The 25,115-nt window shown below is 36.0% G+C and overlaps 1 protein-coding gene across 4 annotated transcripts in view; it reads left to right on the forward strand.

The window, feature by feature from the left end:
- The window catches only part of SLC26A7 (solute carrier family 26 member 7), a 188,660-nt gene that overhangs the window by 23,853 nt on the left and 139,692 nt on the right, over positions 1-25,115 (forward strand). For 2 of the 4 annotated variants that reach the window (NM_052832.4, NM_134266.2), the window contains exons 1-2: positions 15,971-16,065; positions 16,191-16,496. In NM_052832.4, coding sequence (NP_439897.1) covers positions 16,304-16,496 — 193 coding nt within the window. In that variant the 5' untranslated portion in view covers positions 15,971-16,065; positions 16,191-16,303. Of the gene's footprint in view, positions 1-15,970; positions 16,066-16,190; positions 16,497-25,115 lie in introns of those variants that run through there. The other 2 variants (NM_001282356.2, NM_001282357.2) reach the window with 2 other exon arrangements.

A 25,115-nucleotide genomic window follows, 5' to 3' on the forward strand; every position in this document is an offset into this window, starting at 1 on the left:
CTGAGGTCAGGAGTTCGAGACCAGCCTGACTAACATGGCAAAACGCAGTCTCTACTAAAAATTCAAAAATTAGCTGGGCATGGCGGCACACACCTGTAATCCTAGCTACTTGGGAGGCTGAGACAGGAGAATCACTTGAACCTGGGAGGCGGAGGTTGTAGTGAGTGGAGATTGTGCCACTGCACTCCAGCCTGGGCAACAGAGCGGGATTCTGTGTCAAAAAAAGAAAAAAAAGAAAAAGAAAAAAAAGAAAAAGAAAAAGAAAACGTAGGAGAGGGGTGTGGAACCTGAAATCTCACCTTTCAGACAAATATGTTCTTGAAAGCTGAAAAGGTAAAGGCCCCAAGCAACTTGTCCCAAACTACACTAAAACTCTCAGCTACCTCTGTTTTAGTTCAATGTGTTTTATTTTCAGTTCACCTATGCTTTGGTCATAGAGTCCTCCAGAAAGCCAGAATTGCTACAACAATCTTTTGAATTTCCTTGTTGCTATAGACATGCTATTTTTAGACATGTGAATGAGTTACTGTCTTCCAGCCCCCAGAACAACCTTCCATTCTCTTTTACTGCCTTCACTCTGTCCTTGGGCTCCTCTCTTCTCCAAAAATCTTAAGGATGATATTCTAATCTGGGTTTCCAGAAACATCTGCTTATTCCAAATTGATCGGGGCAGAGGTAGAAAACTGAAACAAGAATAGATTTAACACTGGTTTATGTGAATCTTGAAATAATTTTCCTAATCAACTTAGTTTAATTTCTTTTTCACTAGTATAATCCTCAATTCTCTGAAAGTTCTGGTATCTGTTTTTTTCATGCCCTTTGATGGATGACTACCATCTTTCTGTGTGTTAAATGTTGGTTAGGAATACATTTTGGAGCTCACGAGTTCTATAACTTAATTGGCTTTAAGCAAGTCTATTGGACATATCACAAACTTTTTAATTCTTTTCAAAATGTTAAAGCTGTTATTTTTCAGGGTGTCCCACCAAACCCTTCATTAATTAGTGTGTGCATTAGGAAACTCTTCTAGGTCTCTTAAGAAGTAGAGTAGTTGCCTACCAGTTAGCCATTACTAAAGCAATGACACATAGTCATTGTTATTGCATTCATTAAAATTGGGTGGCCCTTCTGTTTTTTTTTTTTTAATAGAAGTGGGGCACAGAGACTTGGTAGTGAAAGACACCTGTCTTTGCCTTCTTTTCAGCTTCATAAAATACTTGCTCCATTCTCAAGTCCCATAAGGGAATTCCGAAATTAAATGTTGAAGTATGTGATGCTGTTAAATAAAACAGACAAGCCCAAATGAAAACCCTATATTTTTTTCAAATGGGAAAATTGAAAATAATCTTCTCATTCAATGAATAGGCTTGTCATTGTTGCAAAACAGTCATTGTTTCTTTCTCTTTCTCTCTCTCCTTCCTTCCTTCCTTCCTTCCCTCCCTCCCTACCTACCTACCTACCTACCTACCTACCTACCTACTTCCTTCCTTCCTTCCTTCCTTCCTTCCTTCCTTCCTTCCCTTCTTCCCTCCTTCCTTTCTCTCTCTCTCTCTCTCTCTGTTTCTTTCTTTCTTTCTTTTTCTTTTTTTGAGGCAGGGTTTTCCTCTGTCACCTAGGCTGGAGTGCAGTGGTGTGATCGTGGCTCACTGCAACCTCTACCTCCTGGGCTCAAGTTATCCTCCCACCTCAGCCTCCTGACTAGCTGAGATTACAGGCATGAGTGACCACGCGAGGCTAATTTTTTAAAAATTTTTTTGTGGAAAGTGGGTTTTGACATGTTGCCCAGGTTGGCCTTGAACTCCTGGGCTCAAGCAATCCTTTCACCTCAGCCTCCTAAAGTGCTGGGATTACTGGCATGAGCCACCATGCCCAGCCCAAGTGCCTGAATTTCTGCAGGGTAGAATTATGTCTCAACTCTGGTCATTGAGGGCTTAGTCCCTAAAGTCCTAAAAATAAACAGCAAAAGAAAAAGGAGAACTAGAGGAGATGGAAAGAAATATTACTGGAGGTACATTCTCACTCATATTTAGGACTGACTTTAAAGAATCTGGTATGCAGTTTCTAATAAATTATCCATGTTCATATCTTTACTCATTTAGATCAAGACGAAAAGAGAAAAATCAGAATTCCCACCAGTCTAGGAACACTGTGAAACAGTGTAAGCCATGAAATATTTATGAGAGATTTTGGGTGAAGGGGAGTCTGGGGGAAGAGAAAACTGCAAAATGTCTGGGAGCCACAGAAATATTTGGTAATTGAAAATTATTGTCTGGGGATTTCAAAAGTATACCTAAAAAAGATTAGTTCTTTAAAAGGACTGATTTCAAACTGATGTTTAAAATATATGTATTTCTCACAAACTCAGGAAATACTTCCAACAATCATTGATTAATAACTCTTGAGCCATATCTGAGTTGATATATTACCAGTTTTAATGCCAAGTTTACTTAATTTAACCATCTTTTGACCATTAGGCCATGGGACTCTAGTTTGTGACTTCTATAATATGCTCATATAACAAATAGATTAAATGGGGTCAGAGTAAAATCTCTCCTAAAAGCTACTTGGGATTCTTAACTTAATTTCTCTTGACATTTCTGGAAGTGAACAAAAGCTGCCCTATTCATTACTTTCTGAAAATTTTACTTAGATGCATAACTTTATGAACTATAAATCTCTCATCTCTTCGAAAAGCCCTCAAGACAGAAGCTAAATAATGTATCTGGAACAGACACTGGTCCCCAATTAATACAGATACAAAATTTGTAACCAAATATTTATATCTTAATTTGTGTTTTGGGAAAATTTCTTTTCCAAAAGAAAAGCATAGATATTCTTAACTGCATGAAAAAGAAAATAGAAACCTCTAACCTAAATAGAATGAAAAGCAATTTGAGGCTGGTAATTGAGAAAGTCTCAAGCTTCGTATTTCCAGCTTTGTTCACTTATCCCTCCCCTTCTGCCAAAGTTTTCAGGGAATAATAGAGTTAGGAGAAGGTCTGGGAAGTCCAAAGTCCCTCTGAGTAATTTCATAATTAAACCCTTCTGGTATGTTTCTTTAATAAAAGTAGGTAAGAACAGCAGATACCCAATGCCCTCATGTTGTCAAGTGTGCATCATTTTAATGAGACAAAATGAGATGAGCTGATGTAATAGGTTACAGAAAATATTACCATCAACATTCATCACTGATATAAATTCAATAACTTCTGTGCAGATAAAAAAAAAACTCACAAATTTTATCCAGGTGTTCTTAATTGTTCATTATTGACTTCATGGCCACTAGATGACACTGTTGCTTTAAGAGTTAGTGCAAGAAGAGCCATTAATATTGTTAAAGTTATACAGGAAGCACTATTGTAATAAACATATCATTTATAGTTTAAATGTGAGTGTCTGATTTCCCAGTTCTGAAACTCAACTAATACTGATTGTCATTATTATTACAAATAGTTCTGACATTATTATTTACTACATAAAATTTATATATGTGCAGAATAAAACAAACAACTACAACCTCTACTCCCAGGGCCATTTATCACCACACTAATGTCTAATATTTATCAATTGCTTACTCTGTAACAACATTTGTGCTTTGTACTTTAGGTAAATTATTTCATTTAATCCTTCTGTCAACCGAACTTGCAGAAGATTACAAAGCTAAGAAGTGACAGAACTGGAATTCAAACCCAATTTGACTGTTACTACTACCCGCTATCATTGACAGATGTGCTCCCTGGTAACACAGCAAGCTGGTGGCCAGGGGTAGAACATACCCTGAACTCTGTTATAGTATTTCCAATCCAATTCACTACACCAAAATCCACAGGATGCCCATTTAAATTTGTGTGTCTGATAAATGACTTTTTTACTGTATGTCTCATGCAAAACAGTGAATTTCAGATAAACAACATCATTTATTTTTTGTGTAAGTATATTCCAAATATCGTGTGGGACATAGCTACGCTATAATTTTTTCTTGTGTATCTGAAATTCAAATTCAACTAGATTTCCTGTATTTTTATTCGCTAAATCTGGCAATGCTTAGCTATTACTCCAGTTAAGTTGGGGCAGTTTAACAAAAAACTCAATTTCTTTCCTCTCTATTTCAGATTCTCTCCTTTGTCGATACTTCTCCCTGAGAAATATATATTTGTCTTTTTAAAGGATGCTCCTGTAATCAGTGCCCTTTATCCCTTTACTTCTTACCTCTTTCCAGACTTGCTCCATCTGGCATCAGCATGCCTGCCTCATTTTCACTCTTTTTCTCTCTACCGTGTCTTTTCCTCCTCTATAAACATGATTAGAGATTTCTACCTTTAAAAACCTCAAGCTTTAACTGCACTCTATTTGATTATACTTCTTAAACTCATATCCCCTATTTCCTTATCACTCATTCACTCTTCAACTGCAATCTGGTTTCTGCACCCAACATTGTAATAAAGCTCCTCTTCCAAAGATCACTCAGCAAATTTCTAATTGCTAAATTCCAGACTTTTCTAAGCCCTCATCTTTCTTTGTTTTCTCTGTATTTGATATTGTTCCATCTCTAATCCCATACTTCACTCTATTGGTATTATTTCCTAGGGTTTAATCATCACCTTATTGTGGTGGATTCCAAGATTCCCATTCTCATCTCTCCTGTAATAGTGTTCATAGTATCACCATATATGTAGTCACATGCAAACATTTCTCTTTGACATTTTTGGACCCCCAGATTTTTGCTATATGATGTTGCTTTTACCACTGCTGTATTCTTGAATCTTTCCTTTTGATTTTCAATCTAATAACATTATAAACAAAAGTAAAAGGAGCCTGTAAAGGAATTAAAAATTCATAGGAGAAACATTATATTCCTTTTTTATTTTCTATTTCACTTTCCTCATCTGATGATCATCCTGGGGCTGGCAGGAATAAAAGGCATATCCTTGGGTGGGATTCTTTATTCTTTATTTTTCTTCATTATGAATAAGTTGATGAGCTCCCTGCCTTCCACTGGTTGTCATTTGACAGTGCTCATGAGAATGGAGGTGGGATATGAAAATAACTTTTTATTCTATAGCTAAAGTGGCTCATCAGGTTCAGAAATTGCTTTATTGATGTATATGATATAGCCACTTCTGTTACATTCACTTTTTTGTGCATTATCTACACAAGACTTGATTAGAACATGAGAAAGGTTTTATATATATATATTTATATATACATATATATATACACACACACATATATATATATACATATAATTTGCCTTATTACTAATATCAAGAATACATTCAAAAAGGGCACTTTAGACCTTGAGCTCTTAAGTCTTTGGTCCTTGGTTTTAAAGACTCCTACAATCCCGGTTATGTTAAGTATCTTGAAGTATATCTCTCCCTCATTCTTGAGTCTTCCTTGGGTATGGAAGCTATGTCAAAAAATTCTGATCATCCTGCATAATTTTTAAAGCAACCTATTAAGACAGTGACTCCAAATAATAAGAACGTTTATAGGGTAGAAGACGTTGGACGTATATATTTAATTAGATGGATATTTTATTTTAAATACCAGTTAGTAGAGAGACCATAAAAACAATTCCTTCTCTATGGACATCTATAAGGATTGATAGGCGTAAGTACTATGTGCTACTAAGCATATTTATTACTTTATTTTGGCCCTAGTTTTAAGTGCAATAAAATCTTGTTTTTATAGATCATATATACCCAGAGTCAGTCTCTTAAAAATGATATATAGATGAGGCCGGGTGTGGTGGCTTACGCCTGTAATCCCAGCACTTTGGGAGGCCAAGACGGGCGGATCACGAGGTCTGGATATCGAGACTATCCTGGCTAACACCATGAAACCCCGTCTCTACTAAAAATACAAAAAATTAGCCGGGCATGGTGGCAGGTGCCTGTAGTCCCAGCTACTTTTGAGGCTGAGGCAGGAGAATGGCGTGAGCCCGGGAGGCGGAGCTCACAGTGAGCCGAGATCGCGTTCGCCCCACTGCACTCCAGCCTGGGCGACAGAGCGAGACTCCGTCTCAAAAAAAAAAAAAAAAAAAAATATATATATATATATGTATATGTATATATATGTATATATGTGTATATGTGTATATACGTATATATATGTGTATATATGTATATATATGTGTATGTGTACATATATATACACATATATATGAGAAAATATTTCTGCTAGCTCTCATAAGAAATTGCCTTAGATTAAAAGTTCCTAGATCAGTAATGACAGATTCACACACACTATGTTGTTGTTACATCCCCTAATGCCTGCAGCAGGTATGGGTCTATACAAACTTTCTTACTGAACATAATGCTTCAGAAATCCTCTCCACTCTGCATTTCAGTATTTCAATTCAAGAACTAATTCATCTTTGTTGACATAGGATTGACACAGATGGATTTGAGTTGTTTTTCAAGGGGCTAAGTAGACAGGTTTGAAAGGGACTACAAACTGGGTAAGATTGTCCATCACAGGAGAAAAGGAAAACATTTCATTCAAATTGAATAATGGTGGGAAGTAAGACATACATGGTATTATTCCTTTACGTTTTTAATGTATTAAGACATATTAAAAACAACTCAAAACTACTGAAAGACTTAAACATTATCCAAATTATCTTAGCAACTAATGAAATTTATGGAAGCTAACAACTAACATCTATCAGCACCTCTCCTGTGTGCCAAGCATTGTCCTTGGTACTCTACTTATCTAAATTCTTCCCTCAAAGACCTTGAAAAGTTGGCATTGAGTTTTGGCTTTGGTGGGATTGAATTTCAGCTTTGCTTGCCAATGTTCTGGTTGGTTGTCTGCTTCCATATTACAGCACTTCAAATATTTATTTTTTGTTATGCTCCTTTTGACATGAATAAAAAGTAAAGTTCCATAAGGATTGGTTTATCTATTCTAGTATATGTATTTTACTGCTAGTAATATAGTGAATATGGTACACAATATCATCCCAATCTGTGTGCAATGTAAACTTTGAAACATCTAGAGTAAATTTCAATAGTGTTACTAATTAATGGGGAGAATGAGAACTCTGGAACTCTTCCCTATGTGCTATTTCTTGAAGTGAAAGAAATTCTTTGTGGAAGGTCTAAAAAGTTTCTTAAAATTTTGCATTTTCAACAAACTAAAATGGCTTATAAACTTATTCTGCATCTTCCAATAAATGAGAAACTTATAATTATTCACTGTCCCTTTTCTTATTATAGTACTTTAATCTCCACTGTCTGAGTTATACTTGGGCATTCAATTTGACTTCCTGAGACAAATAAGCTTGAGCACAGCAAATTTCTGAATATTATTATGTGTTGTTTGTGAACAAGTCATTAGTGGTAGCCTATATTTAAATTAGGTTTTCAGTTGTGGAATGAAAACTAGCAAGTGAAAACAAGCACAAAAGAAAAATATATTCCCTGGCTTTAAGATCCTGGGAAAGCATGAATGCTCTAAATTCTTGCTGGAAATTCAATTGATCCAGAAAACTAGACATCAGTAAGTGTTGTGGAAGTCAACACACAACAGTGTTGAGTGAGACCCTCAAAAGATGAGTTTATTATAGGTCCAGGGCCATGTAAAATGGTGACCCAGAAGAGCCTCACTGGCACATAGAAAAAAATACTGTCCAATAAAAATGACATCATTAGCAATGATTCTTTGACACTTGGACCCTAATAATTCTGCTTCTAAGGAAACAATCAGAAATCTGGATAAAGATTTATTCTCAGAGATGTCTACCCTAGTGTTATCTGTAATAATAATAAAAATTGTAAGTAACCAGTTTCTACTTCTTGGGTAAGTGAACTATGGTACATTTTTGTGAAGAAATATTGTACAGTCATTAAAAATGATATTCTCTAAGAGTTTTTGATGATATGACAAAGGCTTATGATATAAATCTCAATGAAATAAAAAATTACATGTATAGTAATGCCTCAACTACGTAAAGAAAGATATTTCACATTAAAAAGCTGAACAAACTATACCAAAATTTAAATCAACAGTGTGATTATGGAACATATTTTCTTTATCTTTTAAAACACTTTTCTATACTTTCTGAAATCATCTACTTTATAACAGTAATTTGATTATTTAATAATCAGAAAAATGAAGAAAAATATTGAGAAATATAAATAGCTTCTGAATTCTTATCAAAGTGTGTTGTGCATTTTGCTCTATTGATCCTTAACACAAAGAATACAAAGCCATGAAGCTTGACAGTAAAAGCAAATTTTTAAAGTCAACTTTAAAAGTTGAGTTTTAATTTCTAAATAATATACATGAGAGTTGTTTGGTTATTTTTGAACTTTGCACACTTACTCATATTTCTATGGACACAATAATTGTCTTGAAAAACATTCTTTGTTGCAAGGAAGAGGGAACCCTAAAAATAATTATAAGCCCTCCATCTTAGAATAATCCCCTACTTCGCACATAAAAAGCTGCGTGACCGTATCTTAGAAATGCTATAAAAATGATTTTCACATTGCTTGTGTCCTTTTAATTAGGAATGATCTTTTGGTACTATTTCAACTTTAAGAGATTTAATGAGGCTAACATTGCAAGATAGAGGCTAGTTCTGAATTTTCCCTAGTTTTGAAATTTTCCCCTACATGTCAAACACTATTTGGCAGTGTTCAGTAAATATTTTTTAGACTTATCCCTTTGGAACAATATAGGCTGTATGGAGTATTTTAGCCATTTTTCTTCTGAGTAACACAATAGTTTTGAATATTTCATTTTTTTTCTCTGCTATTATTATCCCTTCCAGGTGGGAACTCTCTATCCAGGGACAGAGTCTAATGAAGTTTTTAGACAAACTTCAATATCTTTTAATAGAAGTACTATATTGAAAAGTTACATGACTGCTGAAAACATAACATATTTGATTTCAGTAATTACTTTGATATGAGCTCTCCATATCTTTTTGGACAGCATGAAAAAATTCCATTTGATTGTTCTCAAATAATGCCTACTAAGGAATAAATTTTGATATGAAGTACAGGGACTTGTAACTATGTCTGGCTTTTATTTTTCATGAATGATTTTAATAAAGGCCTATATACAGCATTCTTAATCAATTTTTTAGTAATGCCATGGAGTAAATTGTATTCCTTCAAAATTCATATGTTAAAGCCCTAGCCCCCAGTGTGATGGAATCTAGAGACAGGGCCTCTGGGAGGCAGTTAGGTTTGGATAAGGTCATGAGAGTAGGGTCATCATGGTGGCAATGATACCCTTATAAAGGAAGCACCAGAGAGCTTTCTTCCTGTTTCTCTCTGCCATGTGAGAATGCAGAGAAACAGTGGCCATCTGCAAGCCAGTAAGAGAGCTTTCACCAGGGAGCTGAATCAGGTGACATTTTGATCTGGAACTTCTCAGCCTCCAAAACTATGAGTGATAAATTCTTGTTTAAGCCACCCAGTCTATAGTGTTTTGTTATAACGACCTCAGCTCATTAGTACAGATAACAAAATTTGGAGGAATAGCTAACATTATAAGTGAAAAGCATAACTATCAGTATTGATAATAACAGAATCATATTAAAAAGATTTTGATACAATGAACTAATTGACTAGATTCAAGATATCAAACAAGGTTTAATACCAAATATTGTGCTTAAATTTTTATAAAAACCTCCTACATAAAAAAATATAGAGAATATATCACTTAAACAGCGGTGGATTTGCAAAAAGTTAAAATTTAATTGTGCGGTAATGTTTATGCTTTTAAAGTCAGAACGCAGCTAAAAATTGTGTTAAATTTTTGTATCACATTCTAAAGTGAAAATTGGCAAGCTGTAGCAGGTCATAGGGAGGGTGATCATAATGTTGGACAGTTTAAAAGCCATATTACATAATAGATAACTTCCATCTCTAGCCAGTTTTGAGTAATTGGGACTAGATTTACCCTCCTGCTTGAAACAAATAAAAATAACCTGATACAATATATAAAACGATGGTGTCAAGATTTTGGACATCAGTCAGTAGAGGACTGATCTTGGAAAGATGGAAAGTAAACAAAACAAGCATTAAGATTGTCCCGTCCCATCTTCTTTTAGAAAAGTTTGCAACCATGGTGCCAAAGAGTGGGGGTGGAGGATAACTCAGGAGGAGGCTGGCAGTCTTCATAGGCTGAAGAGAAGGAGCTGAGTCTGGAGACTCCAAAGCAGCTAGATTTCACATGGCAGAGTACCAGAGAGAGGAGAGACACACTGACTCAGAAATCTGCACATGCAGAATATTCAACTAAGTAATGATCAGCACATGAATGGGAGGAACCTACCGACACTGGGGAATGATTAAAATGAGTAATCTTAGGAACTCACATAGTTTCCATGTTTTCATCACAGTTCATGTTTTCATTAGCCAGAGTAAAAAAAAATCTCACAATCCACAAACAAAGAAGCAGCAAGACGGTAGATTTAAACCCAACCACATAAATAATTACATTAAGTGTAAATGGTCTAAATAAAGCACAGGTCATCACATTGGACTAAAACAGCAAGAGCCAACTGTATACCACTTAAAAGAAACCTGCATTAAATATAAAGACATAAATAAAAGTAAAAAGATGAAAATATATCATATTATGAATAACTGAAGGAACTTAGTATGTGTAGTTGCAAAATGAGATACAAAAGAGAGACAGAATCATAATCTTCCAATATATACATATTTCCTTTAGCATAGAGGTTAATGTTTCTAGAAATAGGATTGCTAAAGCAAGTTACAGACACACAATTATGTAGTCCTTAGGGAGGTGAATTTCCTAAATGTGTATTGGGTAAATCTCTTTTTAAGCATCTTCAATTCTTCTTAAGCCATGATACGGCCATAGTTTATTTTACTTATTTTTTATCAGTTGTTAGTCAGAAATGAGACAAGGCTTTTATTAATCCTCAATTAATTATTTTTTACTGCTTTCTCCTTTGCCTTGCCTTTTCTTCTCTTCCTTTCTCCTCTTCCTTTTCTTCTTCTTTTCCTTTTTCTTCTTTCTCATTTTCTTCTTCCTTTTTCTCCTCCCCTCTTTCCCTCTTTTCATTCTTTTTTTATGATTTCTTTGAAAATGTCTTATATTATTGTAAAATGTGTTTGAATATATAAGTGATTCTTTCCCTAGGCATTTTTTTTTTTCTTGCTGCTTTTTTGTGTTTGTTTTTGAGAGAGGATCTTGCTCTGTTGCCCAGGCTGGAATGCAGTGGCATGATCACAGCTCACTGCAGCCCCGACCTCCTGAGTTCAAGTGATCCTCCTGCCTCAGCCTCTTGAGTAGCTGGGACCACAGGCATGAGCCACCATGCCCAGCTAAATTTTTCAATTATTATTATTATTATTATTTTGTAGAGATGAGGTCTCACTATGTTTCCCAGACTGGTCTCAAACTCCTGTGCTCAAGTTATCCTCCCACCCCTGCCTCCCAAAGTGCTAGGATTATAGGTATGAGCCACTGCACCTGGCCCCTAGGCATTTTGTGACTTCACTTGATTTATATTCTTTTGGCTCCTATTATGTATCAAAATAGATCACAGAATATGAAATAATAGCAGAAAGAAAAAAACACACTAAAGAAACTATTGGAAAGTTTAATCCAAAGAAAGCAAAGTAAGACATGTTGGCAATCATTGTTGAGAACATAGAACTTTGCTCACTCTACTGTACTGGTTGGCCTATCATGAGAAAAATATTAACGGCACTGTTCAGGACTGTAATTAACTTATATATGTGCGTCCATATTTGAATGTAAGAGTATTTTTTAAATAAACAGCACCATAGAATATCAGAACTCTTTAGAGGTTTACACTAAATTAATTAGGCCTGAAGCTGAGGAACTAATTATGTGTTATGTGTCATTGGGATTGGGCTCTTAAGTAGCAGATTTTGCCTCAATAATTGGGGAAAAAAAGTTCTAACAATCACAATGTTAGAAAATTGGAATCGGTTATTTTTCTAGGCCTTTTAATTTTAGAAATCGGAAGAATTAAAGCAGAGGTTGGATTCAGGGATGTGCCTGTATGAAACTTTGGGTAAATTAAGAAAAAAAGTACTTTGGTAGACTTGATACAAATTACGCAATTGTGTGGACGTATCCCCATGCCAGCTATGTGGCTTGGTGGGTAGAGTATGGCCTTCCTTAGTATCAGCCTTCGTTTTCCCTCTCAGATGGGAGCCTTTTACAGTGTCTTCTTAGAAATGCTGTAGATCAACTTCCTGAGGTAGGTATGAGTTTGGGGTTGATAACTTCCAATGTCTGATCTATACTTTTCATTGTAACCTCGATATAAATCAGTGTCTTAGGTGTCCCAATCTCCACAGAGACCACATTCAAAGAAGCCTCATGTCAAAACCAAAAATACTGCGAGAGAATTTCACTCTTTACTAATGTCTCTCAGAAACCATTAAATGTGATTCAGTTTATAACCTGCACAGCATTTCTCAAAAGTCTGTTTCTTCACTTGAGCCTGGCCAAATTCCCTCACACTTCATAATTGCCGCAGAGATCCTCACATGCCAACCCTCTACAAATTCTCTCTGAAGCCCCAACCCATGAGGGTGTCTGTCTATCCTTTGTCTCCTTTATTTCTTCCGCATTTCCCATCTGGTTTTTCTTCTCTTTGTGCTCCAGATTTTATAATATTAGAAAAAATAACTGTGTTGAAAAAAGAACTTTCCATAGATTGTGAGAGAACTGGGAGAAGCTGAGCAAACAAAGATAAAATCTCATCTTATTTTTCTCCTAGAACCTTTATTCTCATTTTCTCTCCACCTGGTTATCTGATTTTTTAAGAGCACAACCTGGAAACCAGGATGAGATAGACTAAATGATTTTTGGGTACTTTTGGATGAACATTTGTATGTTAATACTTACTGTGTGAATCCAATGTCTGCAGCTCCTTCTGCTAAATTCTAAAAAAGAAGCAAAGCAATTTATGTGAATAATCCCTACTCAAAAGGAATGTACAATCTCATGAGTCAGACTGGATAAAAATCACATGAAATAGATTTAAAGGAGGAAAACCAATAAACAGTGAAAATGACTACAGCTCTATACACACAAATACACTGAGAGTTACCTGAATGTTCATTACACAGCATAAATAAAATTGTGGAGAAACCAGGGAAAGTTTCGTGGAAGAGGTAAACATTGAGTAAATGTTTAGAAGATGTAAAATACCATGTAACTAGGGCCATTAATATAGAAATAGACTAGTGCACCTGTAATCCCAGCTATTCCGGAGGCTGAAGCAGGAGAATCGCTTGAACCTGGAAGGTGGAGGTTGCAGTGGGTGGAGATTGTGCCATCGCACTCCGGCCTGGGAGTTAAGAGCGAGACTCTGTCTTAAAAAAAAAAAAAAACAAAACGGAAAAGTAATGGCCAGGACATCATGAGTATAATTACCTGCTACAACAGAGAGTCTCAGCAGGCTGAAATACTTTTGTTTTTCCCCGCAAAGGGAATGCCACTCTCCATCCTCTGAGCTCCCGTATGACTTATTGGGTGATTTGACTGTTATTTATCACATTCTGCCTTGAGTTAGTTATACATGTTTTGATTTTCTTCATTAAATAGTAACTCCTAGAATACAGAGGTAGTATCTACTCCTTTTCCTTCCCTTTTCTGTAGCACTTCACACAGAGTCTAGCAAATTATCATTGTTTAATAAAAACTTGCTGAATTAGAGTTAATGAGAAGCTAGTGAGTAGAAGGTGGGAAGGGGAGCAGAGAAGGACTGCATTGCTTCCACTAATGAGTTTAAGTTTGATATTGGAGATAACTGAAATTCAAACATATCAGTGATGTAATCAAAATGAGATTTTACAAAAAATCTTTCTGTTAATCCATGTATGAAGTAGAAGATAACAATTTCATCTTTTTATTTGTATAGGTATTATCCCAGATGTTTAGGAAGAGATATTCCATATAGATGGTACATACTGTTGAACTGTAAGCTACTTTTAGTCATTGAAACTTTTGAATGAATACACTTAGCATTCTTGAATTTTGCAGGCTGTTCAAGTTACTCTGAGAATCTTATGTGTGTGAATAAATTTCCTCATAATGTTTTTCTTTCTTTCTGGCATTGCTGATTATAAATAGGCATGATCCATGCTCTGGTTTGACATGTTTTAAATAATATGTATGCACATGGAAATTGAAAAAAAACATCTGGAATTGGAATTCCAGATTTAAGCTTCAAAAAAGATTTTTAGGAAAGATTCATTCTAATTTTAAGAAATTTTTAAATTGAGAGATTTCAGAACTATTTTGTTAATTTCTACCCTCTCTTGGTCTTGAAATGTTTTAGAACAATTGCTGGTGCTATATGATTTAGGTACTTCTATTTACCTTCAATTCATAAAATCCTGTTCATGTGAATTTTTTGTTATGGAATTTAACACAAATTTAAAAATGATTGAAATTACACAAATGATAGATGTTGATTGGTGATTTCAGTTAAGCTTTCAATTATTTTTCTCATATTGTTAACATACGTTAGAATTTATGACCTAGATAGGATTTGAAAAAAAATCTTGTGTTTATTTTTATTATAAAGGTAATACATAATCAGTGTATGTATAGCTTCTGAATTTCTTTGCGTATATAATAAATGGAGTATATAAAACAAAAGTAAAGATTGCTTTTTGTGAAGGAAAACCAATGTAATGTTTCAAGCATGAATTTACAATTATTTGGTGAGTTCATCTCTCATACCAAGAGGATAGGATTAAAATGCTACAACTTGGTCTCTAAATGGGGCTCTCTCTACAGGCCCCAAACCTGAACTATTGAATGGTTTAGAAATTTAATATAATGTAAAAACAGTTGGACAAACAAAGCAGTTTCTATTTTGTAAGTATAAATAAATTCCCCCCCACCCCGCTGCGTCTCTTCGTTGGATTTAAAAAGAAAGGTATTTTTGCACAGACACAAAGCTAGAGATGTCATCTTTAGAAGATGGAGAGCAACTCTTCACTTTAATTTAAAAACAAAGGGAAAAAGTGCAGCAGGAGGGATCCAAGTACTTTGTTATTATAAAGGCTTCCAGAAATCAGATTTCTATTCTCCAAACAAATGGGCATTAAAAAGGACTCAGCAAACTATATACATGGTATTCTTTTCCTTGGCTACACAATTTTAGTTAGTATGTTGCCTTTTTGGTTTAATTCCAATGGCACAGTTCATAGATTTAAGTTTTTCTTTTTCTTTTGGAGGCTAAGCAAAATGATCATAAAATAAAAATCTTTGACAGTCTGTTCTATTATAAAATGTAACACCCCTTATTAAAAAGAGAACACCTACCCCCAAAAGTTATACAAAAAGAAGGCAGCACCATAAAAAAAGCTAAGGATACTTCAAACAATAGTTTGAACCATATAACATTCCTCAGTAAATTTCAGTTACAGTAGAATGAATTATAGGACTTAGAGAAACCATCAGAGAAAACTGAATGAACAGTTTCAGAGACAGGGAAGATCTCCTGTCACAAATATGTGCTCATTGTGATACTTATTCTCTTAGCCCATGAGATGAAATTTCAGTTTGTTTATGAGAACTAGTTACTCCTTTCCCAGACTGGGCAGTAGCTATCTGAATGTTTCTGTATGAATGAAAACCTCATCTGCCAGGGAATAAAAATGGTAAGGACCTTTAGCAATGCCCTGTTATGTTTCTGAATTTTGTAGAACTGGCAGTCATCTGATAATGTTGAAAATATATAGCTCTCAAAGAAATAGGGCTGGATTCTCTGAATATATTTTGCACAATAGATCCCTCTGGCAGTTTTATGATTTTGCACAGCTTGTAGAGAGAGACTGGACTAGCTGGATATTTCCTGGTTTCATTAGCATAGCCCAGCCCACTTCCAACACACGCCCAGAACTACCTCATTAACCATTGGGATTGCAGCCAAAAACATAAGACTACAGTGAATATAAGGGGAATTACTGGCGAGAGAGCTGTAGACCAACTTAACACTGAACCCATTACTTTTCCAAGACCAGAAAAAAATATTACATGAACAGGAACTACTTCTCCTTCAGATAAGAATTCAAGGTTTTAATCTATAGTTTTTAAATCTAGAATAATTAGCTGTATCATAAAAAGACAGCTGCATATATTGAAGTGCTTCTGTTAATCTCTCTCTCTCTCTCTCTTTTATTTACTTATTTTCTGGGCAGCTTTGACATTGTAAACCACAGACGAATTGGAGCTTGGCATTGAAAGGAGGTGTTCTGCAATGATTTTTTTTCTTGTTTAGAGAAGTTTACTTCTACAAGAAGAAATCTGAAAAATGACAGGAGCAAAGAGGAAAAAGAAAAGCATGCTTTGGAGCAAGATGCATACCCCCCAGTGTGAAGACATTATACAGTGGTGTAGAAGGCGACTGCCCATTTTGGATTGGGCACCACATTACAATCTGAAAGAAAACTTGCTTCCAGACACTGTGTCTGGGATAATGTTGGCAGTTCAACAGGTGACCCAAGGTAATGTATTGCATTTGAGTTTCCTGTATTATGCAGAGTAGATGTCACTTTGCTTCCTTGGAATAATACTATGACCTAGAATAAACAATTTAGCTAAATAAATGGATATTAGCTGTGGGGAAACAAGCATATTGGATATATTTGGAGAAGAGTTTTCCTAATTGTCTTTTTTCCTCTGTATTTTGATAGCTATTAAGCATTGAATAAACTTTTGAATGACATTACATTTTTTCACTGTTAAAATTCACACTGTTTTAGAGTGAAAGATTAGTAATTATGGGAGTGTGAGTTTTTATAACATGATCTTATGGATATAGTTGCCTACTTTCACTGAATCAAGCTATAAAATACTCCTGGCTTGAACACAATCGTTTTGGAACCTAATTAGCAGCACACAATTACCTGTTGTAGCCTTGAGAGTTGCTATAAACAAGGAACAAAGCTTTCTGTACATAAAGGAGGCTCTTTGCCAAGATTGGTATTTGCAAAGAGAATCCTGTGTGTCCTGAGAGCTTATGTTTTACTGTCTATGCTGATTTACTTCTGTATCACATTACCTACTACATCTATTTCTCAGTAAGATATTTAAACTGGTGAGAAGTCTGATTTTAACTTTCCCCAAAACAGACTAAATGATATTCTGGATTTAGATAGGTGTTTCTATTGGCAAAAGCTACCGACCTAGTGTGCATGTGTGTGTATTTGTTTGCCTTAAAGATATATCCATTGCAGTTCTTGGCTAATTCAAATAATTTTCTACCTGTAGCAAGGAAAGGAACTAATTTCTGAACCTTGAGAATTTAGAGCAGTTTCCTTGGCATAGACACTGCAGGCTTATATTTCCTTGCAGTTTCACTACCTCCTTGGCTTTAACTATTATTTACACTGTTAAATTATAAGCACTCTTTTAATTAAATTATTCTGTAGCTGGAACAAACTGGTTTGTGTATTTGTGTTTTTGGTATAATTAGGAACATCTGCACTAGTGACTTTAAGATCCATAATACTGTCATACTTTATAGGATTCCATTTTACTGAATAGTCTTATATTTTTAATGACCATTTTGCCAATAGAAATGCATAGTAATCTTTCAGAAAAATGCAAAGTAAATAACAGCTTTGGGCATTTTTGGACTTGCTTTTATTCAGTTTTAAATTCCAAATGAAACAATACCAATGTACTTTGAAAACTTAAGTGATGAATTTTTTTTTTAACCAGATAGTTTCAGCATGCTATAAATTTATTTTGCTTTAATTTAATGTAAAATGAAAGAGAATTATGTTTTTAAAAATAATTTCTTTTTTTACCTTTGGAAAATATCAAGTTAATAAGACAATTTGAGGATAAGATAAAGTTATCTATGGTGTATCATTAGTGATACTATTTATGTATAAGTTTCAGTAGTTAATTATATGGCTTTTATTTGGGTATAGATTTTGAGGGATTTTGTTTTACGAGTCATGTATTTCACTGGTTATGAAGGGACACATTGGCCAGCCCCAAGACTGATGAGAAGCACAACACATACTCAGCCCTTGTGTCTTGGGAAGTTATGAATCTGGCTGCTGATTCTCTTGGAAGGCTACCAGTGAATGGATAAGGCTGCACTACAAAAACGTTTTTGTTTGTGAAATTTAAGACTAATTATTTTTAAAATGTCTATTCTTTTAAAAACAATTTTCTCAAACTTTTTCATGCTCATCTACTACGTATAGACAGTTAAAAAGTGAAATGCCATAAGCTACCATTTGTTGTAAGAGGCAATGCCCTAAACCCTTACATACATTATCTCCCCCTATCCTAACAGAATCCCAAGACACAGCAGTCTCCTCTCCATTTTCCACAGGAGAAAATGGAGGTTTAGAAGAGTTAGAAATTTTCCCTGGACGTCATACCTGATAAGTAGTGGAGTCAGGACTTGATTCCAAAGCCAACACTCAACATTTTCACTTTATAGTCTACACTGCCAAAATAACAAGACTTTTCATAACACCAATGTTATTAGTAATAGAAGACATTTCTTTGGAAAGGTGTGACTATCCTTCCCTTCAAATTGCTTTTGCATTCAGGTTTCATCCCTGCAGTTTTTAGATTCAAAGGCAAAGTGACAAGAAAAATAACTAGAATAGGATACAGAGTAAGGAAGGCATTTAGATATCATTACCTCTTGTTTGTCTGAATACAATATTGGCAATTATTATCAGCTCAATTTTCTAAGGAAAATTAGAAGAAAGAGGGATAATTTTTGTTCTTGCATCATAACGCAAACAATAGGCTCAAGCACCTTTTTTTAGCTTTACCCATTTTTGTAGCAGCTTTTCAGTTACTCAGCATAGTTGAATTATATAAAATTGTCCAATTTACTGTTTCTTGACCTACAAAGATAGAATGTTTATGTTTCAATCTAGTAGTTGTTTTTCGTTCTTCTTTCTCAAGGAGTGCATTTAAATTAAGGATAATGGAAATTCATTTGAGTGTTTTCTATATGTCAAATAGCAAGAAGCTGTTTTAAATTATTTTAATAAAGTAAATCTTTACTTTATTAAAGATTTCCTAATTGTTAAATATAGATGCTTTTCTATTATCAGTAGCATTTTCTGTGTTGACTACAGTCTTTCTGAAATCCCTTATTCTCTTGGTTTTTAGACACCACTCTTGTTTTTCTCCTGCTACCTGTCTGTCCTTCTCTTCTTATGATTCTCTGCAGATTTTTTGCCTCCCACCAAACACTGGTGTCCTGGAGATTCAAACCCTGGCCTTCACTAAAAGCATAAAAGATGCTAATCACCCCCTTCATGCTAATGAAACTTTCTTCTCAACTTGAGATCTACATATTTATTTATTAATTTTTAAAAACCAGCCAGATTATCATTAAAATGTGATGTATACACTGCAAGACTACCTTTTCCAGCTTTCTTTGAGGTTAGGTGTTGCCCTGTGATTATATTTTGGCCAAGGGAAAATGAGCAGAAGTATACTTCTTCCAGTCCTAGCCTGTAAAAGTCATGTATGATCCTCATGTCCCCTATATGCTGGCAGGTATTAATGCCCAAGGCAAATTTGGAAGCTATGTATTGGAGGTAGCATTGACTCTATCAGCAGCCTTGGTTCCTGAGTGACCTTGGAGATCCACATATTTAAATATGCTAACCTAGAATGTTCTAAATGTACTTCAAATGCTGTGTCTTCAAAACAAACTGAATGTAACCTCCATTCGAACCAGAACTATAATAATAACAACAGTAATTTTTAGGCACAGATGCAAGCAGTATTGTAAGAACACTTGACATATATACAAAACTGAAGTTGGGAGAGGACAAACAACTTGCCTAAAGTCACACAGCAAATGAGTGGAAGAGGTAGGATTTGAACTCAGGTAATCTGGCTCCTGAGACTATGCCCTCACTTTTATACTAGACTTCTTCTCTTAGAAAGTCCTGCACATCATTCTCAACTCTTTCCTCTCTTTTGCCACCCTGCCCACTAGCATACGACCAGCTGCCAGGTTCTTTTGTTTCTATCCCCTCTCATTTTAACTAAGTAGTCTTGTTTCATGGGCCCTGCAGTCGCTGTAATTCTGTCTGAACTATTGAAGTCATCATCTTGTGGGTCTTCATTCCTTATTCTGTCTCCACCTGTAGGCCATATTCCATACTGCAGCCAGAATAATCACAAAAATCTGAATGCATTGATCCTGTTCAGAATTATTTAATGAACCTATATTTTCTCTAGAGTAAAAGTCCATTTCTTCAGCATGTCCTATTAGATCATTAATAATCTGAGCCTCTTGATACAAAGCTCTACTCAAAGAGATCTCTCCTCTAAGAATCCCTCCCAATCTCCTGGGAAGATGTTTTCTTCCCTCTTACTCCCTTTGTACTTTTTACATATCTCTTTGATAGGCCTTAACATATTGTATTATAATATCTTGCTACAACTCTTTCCACACTAGTCTGTAAGCTCTGGAAACAAGACAATGTCTTAATCTATATATTCTTACCAGCTTGTGAATTGCTTGGCACATAAATGTTTGTTGGAAGAATTAAAACATTCTAGAAGCCAACAATTGTTCCATTGCAGCATGCTATCACTCTAGAGAGGAAACTGAATTTAAACTAATTCTTATGTTTTATTATATAAATAAATGTAATAAAGATACTGATAGTAAAAAAATACATTAAAATACAAGTAATTGATTTTTTCCAACTTCTCTTACTTTCTTGAAGTTACAAATTTGCAGGCCTCCTGACAAATCTGGTAAAAGATATGTTTTCTTTGTCCCAATGTTAATTTTTTCTTCAGCCAACAGTAACAAATATGAATAGTTTATATAAAAGTCCAGATGCCCAGCTTCTCTTGAAAAATCTAGGGAGACATGGTCACGCAGGGCCCACATCTCCATGCGGCAAAATCTGCAGGCCCTTAAGAGAGCCTCCTTGTTTGCCACAGCACCCACCATTCACAGGTTCACTGCCACTCTTCCTGCTGGTATGACCATTACCTACCTAGCTCTATGAATGACTAAATTTGTTTCCCCTGCCAAGACACTTTCTAACATATTTTGTTGAAATGCCTCAAATTTGCCCTTGAATAAAACCTTCATAGGGAGATGACATAATATTAGCTTCTTCACCTAAGACCACAGAACCTTCAGGTCTGTGAACCTGGACTCATATGTTTCAATATACTTCACTTCTTTATAATCATATGCATTGTCTGTTACTGATTTTTACAATGTGTTCTGGGAAGGAGTCCAGCAGCTTTATTAGACTGCCAAAGGGGTGGTTACCCCTCTTCAGAATAAATAGGTATAATATAGAGATGTATAAAATAACATGTAGATGTATTAATTTCAAAGAAAGAAAGATAAAAGAAACTTCAGGTCCTTCTTTTACTAAGTTCAAATATTTCCTAGAAACCACTTGTATTTTTTAAAAATATTTTTAACATTTGGCAGTTCTCATTAGTAACATCATGTAAGAGCCTTTATATTTAGTATCTGCCATGATGTTCTTTAACTGACATCTTGAAGACCTTCACTGTCAAATATGTTTTATAGATAAGCAAACATTTGTAGAGAATGACATTGACTTAAAACATGTCACCAACATGGATGGCAAGCTAAGCAGTATAAGACTCTGGTTTCTAAAGCATTTTGTGCACATTACAGCCTGAATGACCATCTGGGGGAAAGAGATTCTCTGTTTCCAACATGAAAACTCAAGCATTGAGACAGAGTGGAGACCTGAAATGCATGACTTGCCATATAAGAACCTAATGCACTGGGGTGGAATATGAGAATGTTTGGCCTTGCATTTCCAAGGGCTCACCTAGACTTTTTTTTTCCCAAACCATGCAACTTTTAGCTGCCATAGGGTTGCCTGATGTTCAAACCACAAGGTTTTGGGCTGCAAACAAAAGATGGATGTTCCTTATAATTATGCAGAATGTGTGGCATTACTGGCACCAAAACTTGTGTGTGGAAGCTGAGCTTCATTGCACTCCTGAGGGCAGCTTAGTGACATGCAGAACAATAAGTGGAAATTCCTGAGGCATACTGCATTGCACAGATTAAAGACTTGTCTGGGAATGTTTCCCTGCATGGTCTCAGCTTTGGCGATACAGAATCCTAGCATTAGCCACGTATCTCTAACTTAGCTCCCTTAATCACTGTATCTTCCTGCTAGTAACTTTTCTCCAGGAGCAATGGCATCCAAATATTCCTAAATGAGTCTAAAGTATATTTTCCTTACCCCATGAAAATATAGAAGAGCTGTGACACATTCCTGTCTTTTCCTTCTCTATTTCCCCTCATCCCATGACCCAATCCCTCACTATAGCTCCAAGCTTCATTCGGTACTTTTGACTCCTGTTTTATTTTTCTTTAATGCAAAACAATGATGGTTTAGATATTAAAGGACCCTGTATTTATTTATGCACTTAGCATAATGCTCCCTATAACATTTAGAGCTGTCCATATTGAAGAACCATGACCTTTAATTTTAGAGTGTTGAAAACATGGCAAGGTTTGCAACAAAATACATTGGCAGTGAGTGTCAGGATGAGATACGTGGTCTATCTTCTGTTTTTACCTGCTATGAACCATCCCTGCTCTTTTCAGTAACTGTATCTCAGATTAGTTTGGGTGAATAACCCCTGTTCCATATATAGTACAAATGATTTAGGTGAGGTTCTATTGCTGGCACAGCAGATGGTGTCCAGGCTGATCAGGGGACTGAATGCCTCTAGACCAGGATTCTCAAACTGGAGGCCTATTGGAACCATCTTGGGGATTAAAAGAATGCTAATACAAGGGTTCCATATCTAGCAACGAAACCAGATTTTCTGGAAATTGTGCCCCGGCATTGAGGCATTGTCTTCCTTCTATTCTTTTAAAAAAATGTTGCGGTTTCTAATGTGAAACAGGTGAGAGCAGGATCTAGCCATAGTTATTGGACCAGGTGAAGGTTTGTCGGCCAAGATGTGATAATTAGCACAGTTCCATACACCTGGCCAGTGACTGATTCAAGAATAAGGTCTGACCTCTAGGCATAAGGATATGAGTTTACTATACAAGGGGCCAGCTATTTATTATTAAAATGGTAATGGCAATCTAAATGACCTGAGTGGTCAGTCTGGGTCTCAGTACATGTATGAGACCTTTTAGGAAGCCAAAACTTCCTTCATGCTGAAATGATGACAGTAGAGATAATGTGCCTCTACAGTTTCCCAGGACCTCCACAGCCTGACAATGAAGCCAATCCAGCAAAATGCATAGCAGAGAGAAACCGAGTCCTGATGACAACTACTATAGCCCTGACTCTCCATTTGCATGTGCAAACACTTTTTTGCTTTGTTTATGTAGATTTAAGTTGGGTTTCTTCTAGTCACCTTAATGACACATTTGAGTGCTATTATAGTATAAATGTGTTACATAAATTATTTCAAATATTATGAAACCCAGAAAGATTGATATTATTCTACTGAAGAGCATCTCATGAAAATATGAGCTCTGAACATTAGGTGAATTGGCCCACTTCTAGGACTGCTAAGATGGATTAAAACCTAAAACTGCCCTGCTCCATTCCTCATTCTTCACTGGTATCTGTTGCCCAGCTTGCTTCTAGCATGACAGACATAGCCTGGGTGGGACCGGGGCTGACTCTGAGCCTCCCTTCACATCTACCCCTCAGGCTGCCCCTTCCCATGATGACATGTCACCTGCCTTGATAAAATAAAACCCTGGATTTCCCACCAGAAGAGAGCTTTGCTGGTGAGAAGCAATACAATGAGCTATTGCTCTTTCCCCTGAGGTTCTCTCACTGCCCCCTGCTACATAGAGTAGCTTAGGAGAGATGGAGGGGAGACATGCTTTAATACTGGCCTGAGCATCCATGAATAATAGATTTTACCATGTAGCAGAGGTGACACACAGATGAAATGTTTGAATGAAATTTTACTAAAGGCTAGAGAGCAACGAAAAGGGAAAATAACGAGGCTTACTGCTGTCCGCTTGGTTTGATCCCTCTTGTCTCAGCTCTGTTTCCTCTATCAGGACAGATGCCATCTCTAACATTTACCACCCCCAGCTCAGAGCACTACTGTGGACATTTAACTTCTCCCATTCTGAGTCCAAGAGGAAGGACTGCTTTGGGCTCTCCTAACCATTTTAACATTGGAGATATCTGCACAAAGGCAAGACTTGACTCCTATTCATAGCCATGAGCCTCAGACAGCATAGTTTCTTCTCATTTAACACCATTTCTCAAAATAAAAAAATAAAAAAAAAACACATTTTTTCCCCTTCATTCTTTGTGCTTGACTGTCTTTTCCTTCTATACAGTTTGTTTTTCATGAGCTAATCCATTTTATTTTTTATTTTAGGTTTGGAGGTACATGTGAAGTTTTGTTCCATAGATAAACATGTGTCATGGGGGTTTGTTGTGCATATTATATCACCCAGTGTATTAGTCCATTCTCACGCTGCTATGAAGAAATACCTGAGACTGGGTAATTTATTTAGAAAAGAGGTTTGATTGACTCAACAGTTCCACATGGCTGGGAGGCCTCGGGAAACTTACAATCATGGCGGAAGGTGCCTCTTCACAGGGTGGCAGGAGAGAGAATGAGTGCAAGCAGGGGAAATGCCAGACACTTATAAAACCATAAGATCTCATGAGACTCACTCATTATCATGAGAACAGCATGGGGGAAACTGCCCCCATGATTCAATTACCTCCACTTGGTCCCCACTCCACATGGGGATTATGGGGATTACAATTAAGGTGAGATTTTGGGGGGTCACAGAGCCACACTATATCACCCAGGTATTAAGCTAATCCATTTTCATGGCTTTACTTGCCACTGCTCTATTGGTTAATTGTAGGAATATATTTCCATCTTAACTCTTCCTTCCTAGCTCTAGAGATAAATCGCCAGCTGCCTATTGGGCACAATCTCAATGTCTCCCAGGGACAAATTTTATAACTGAACACAGCATTTTTCCTACCAAAAGTAATCCTTATCCTCCATTCTTTTTTATAATGCAAGTCACCCCCCCATCTACACAGTTTTTCATGCCAGAAACCTGGGAGTGATCCTTCTTCCCCTGTCCCCTC

Source organism: Homo sapiens, chromosome 8, assembly GCF_000001405.40.
Source record: "Homo sapiens chromosome 8, GRCh38.p14 Primary Assembly".
NCBI lineage: Eukaryota > Metazoa > Chordata > Mammalia > Primates > Hominidae > Homo > Homo sapiens.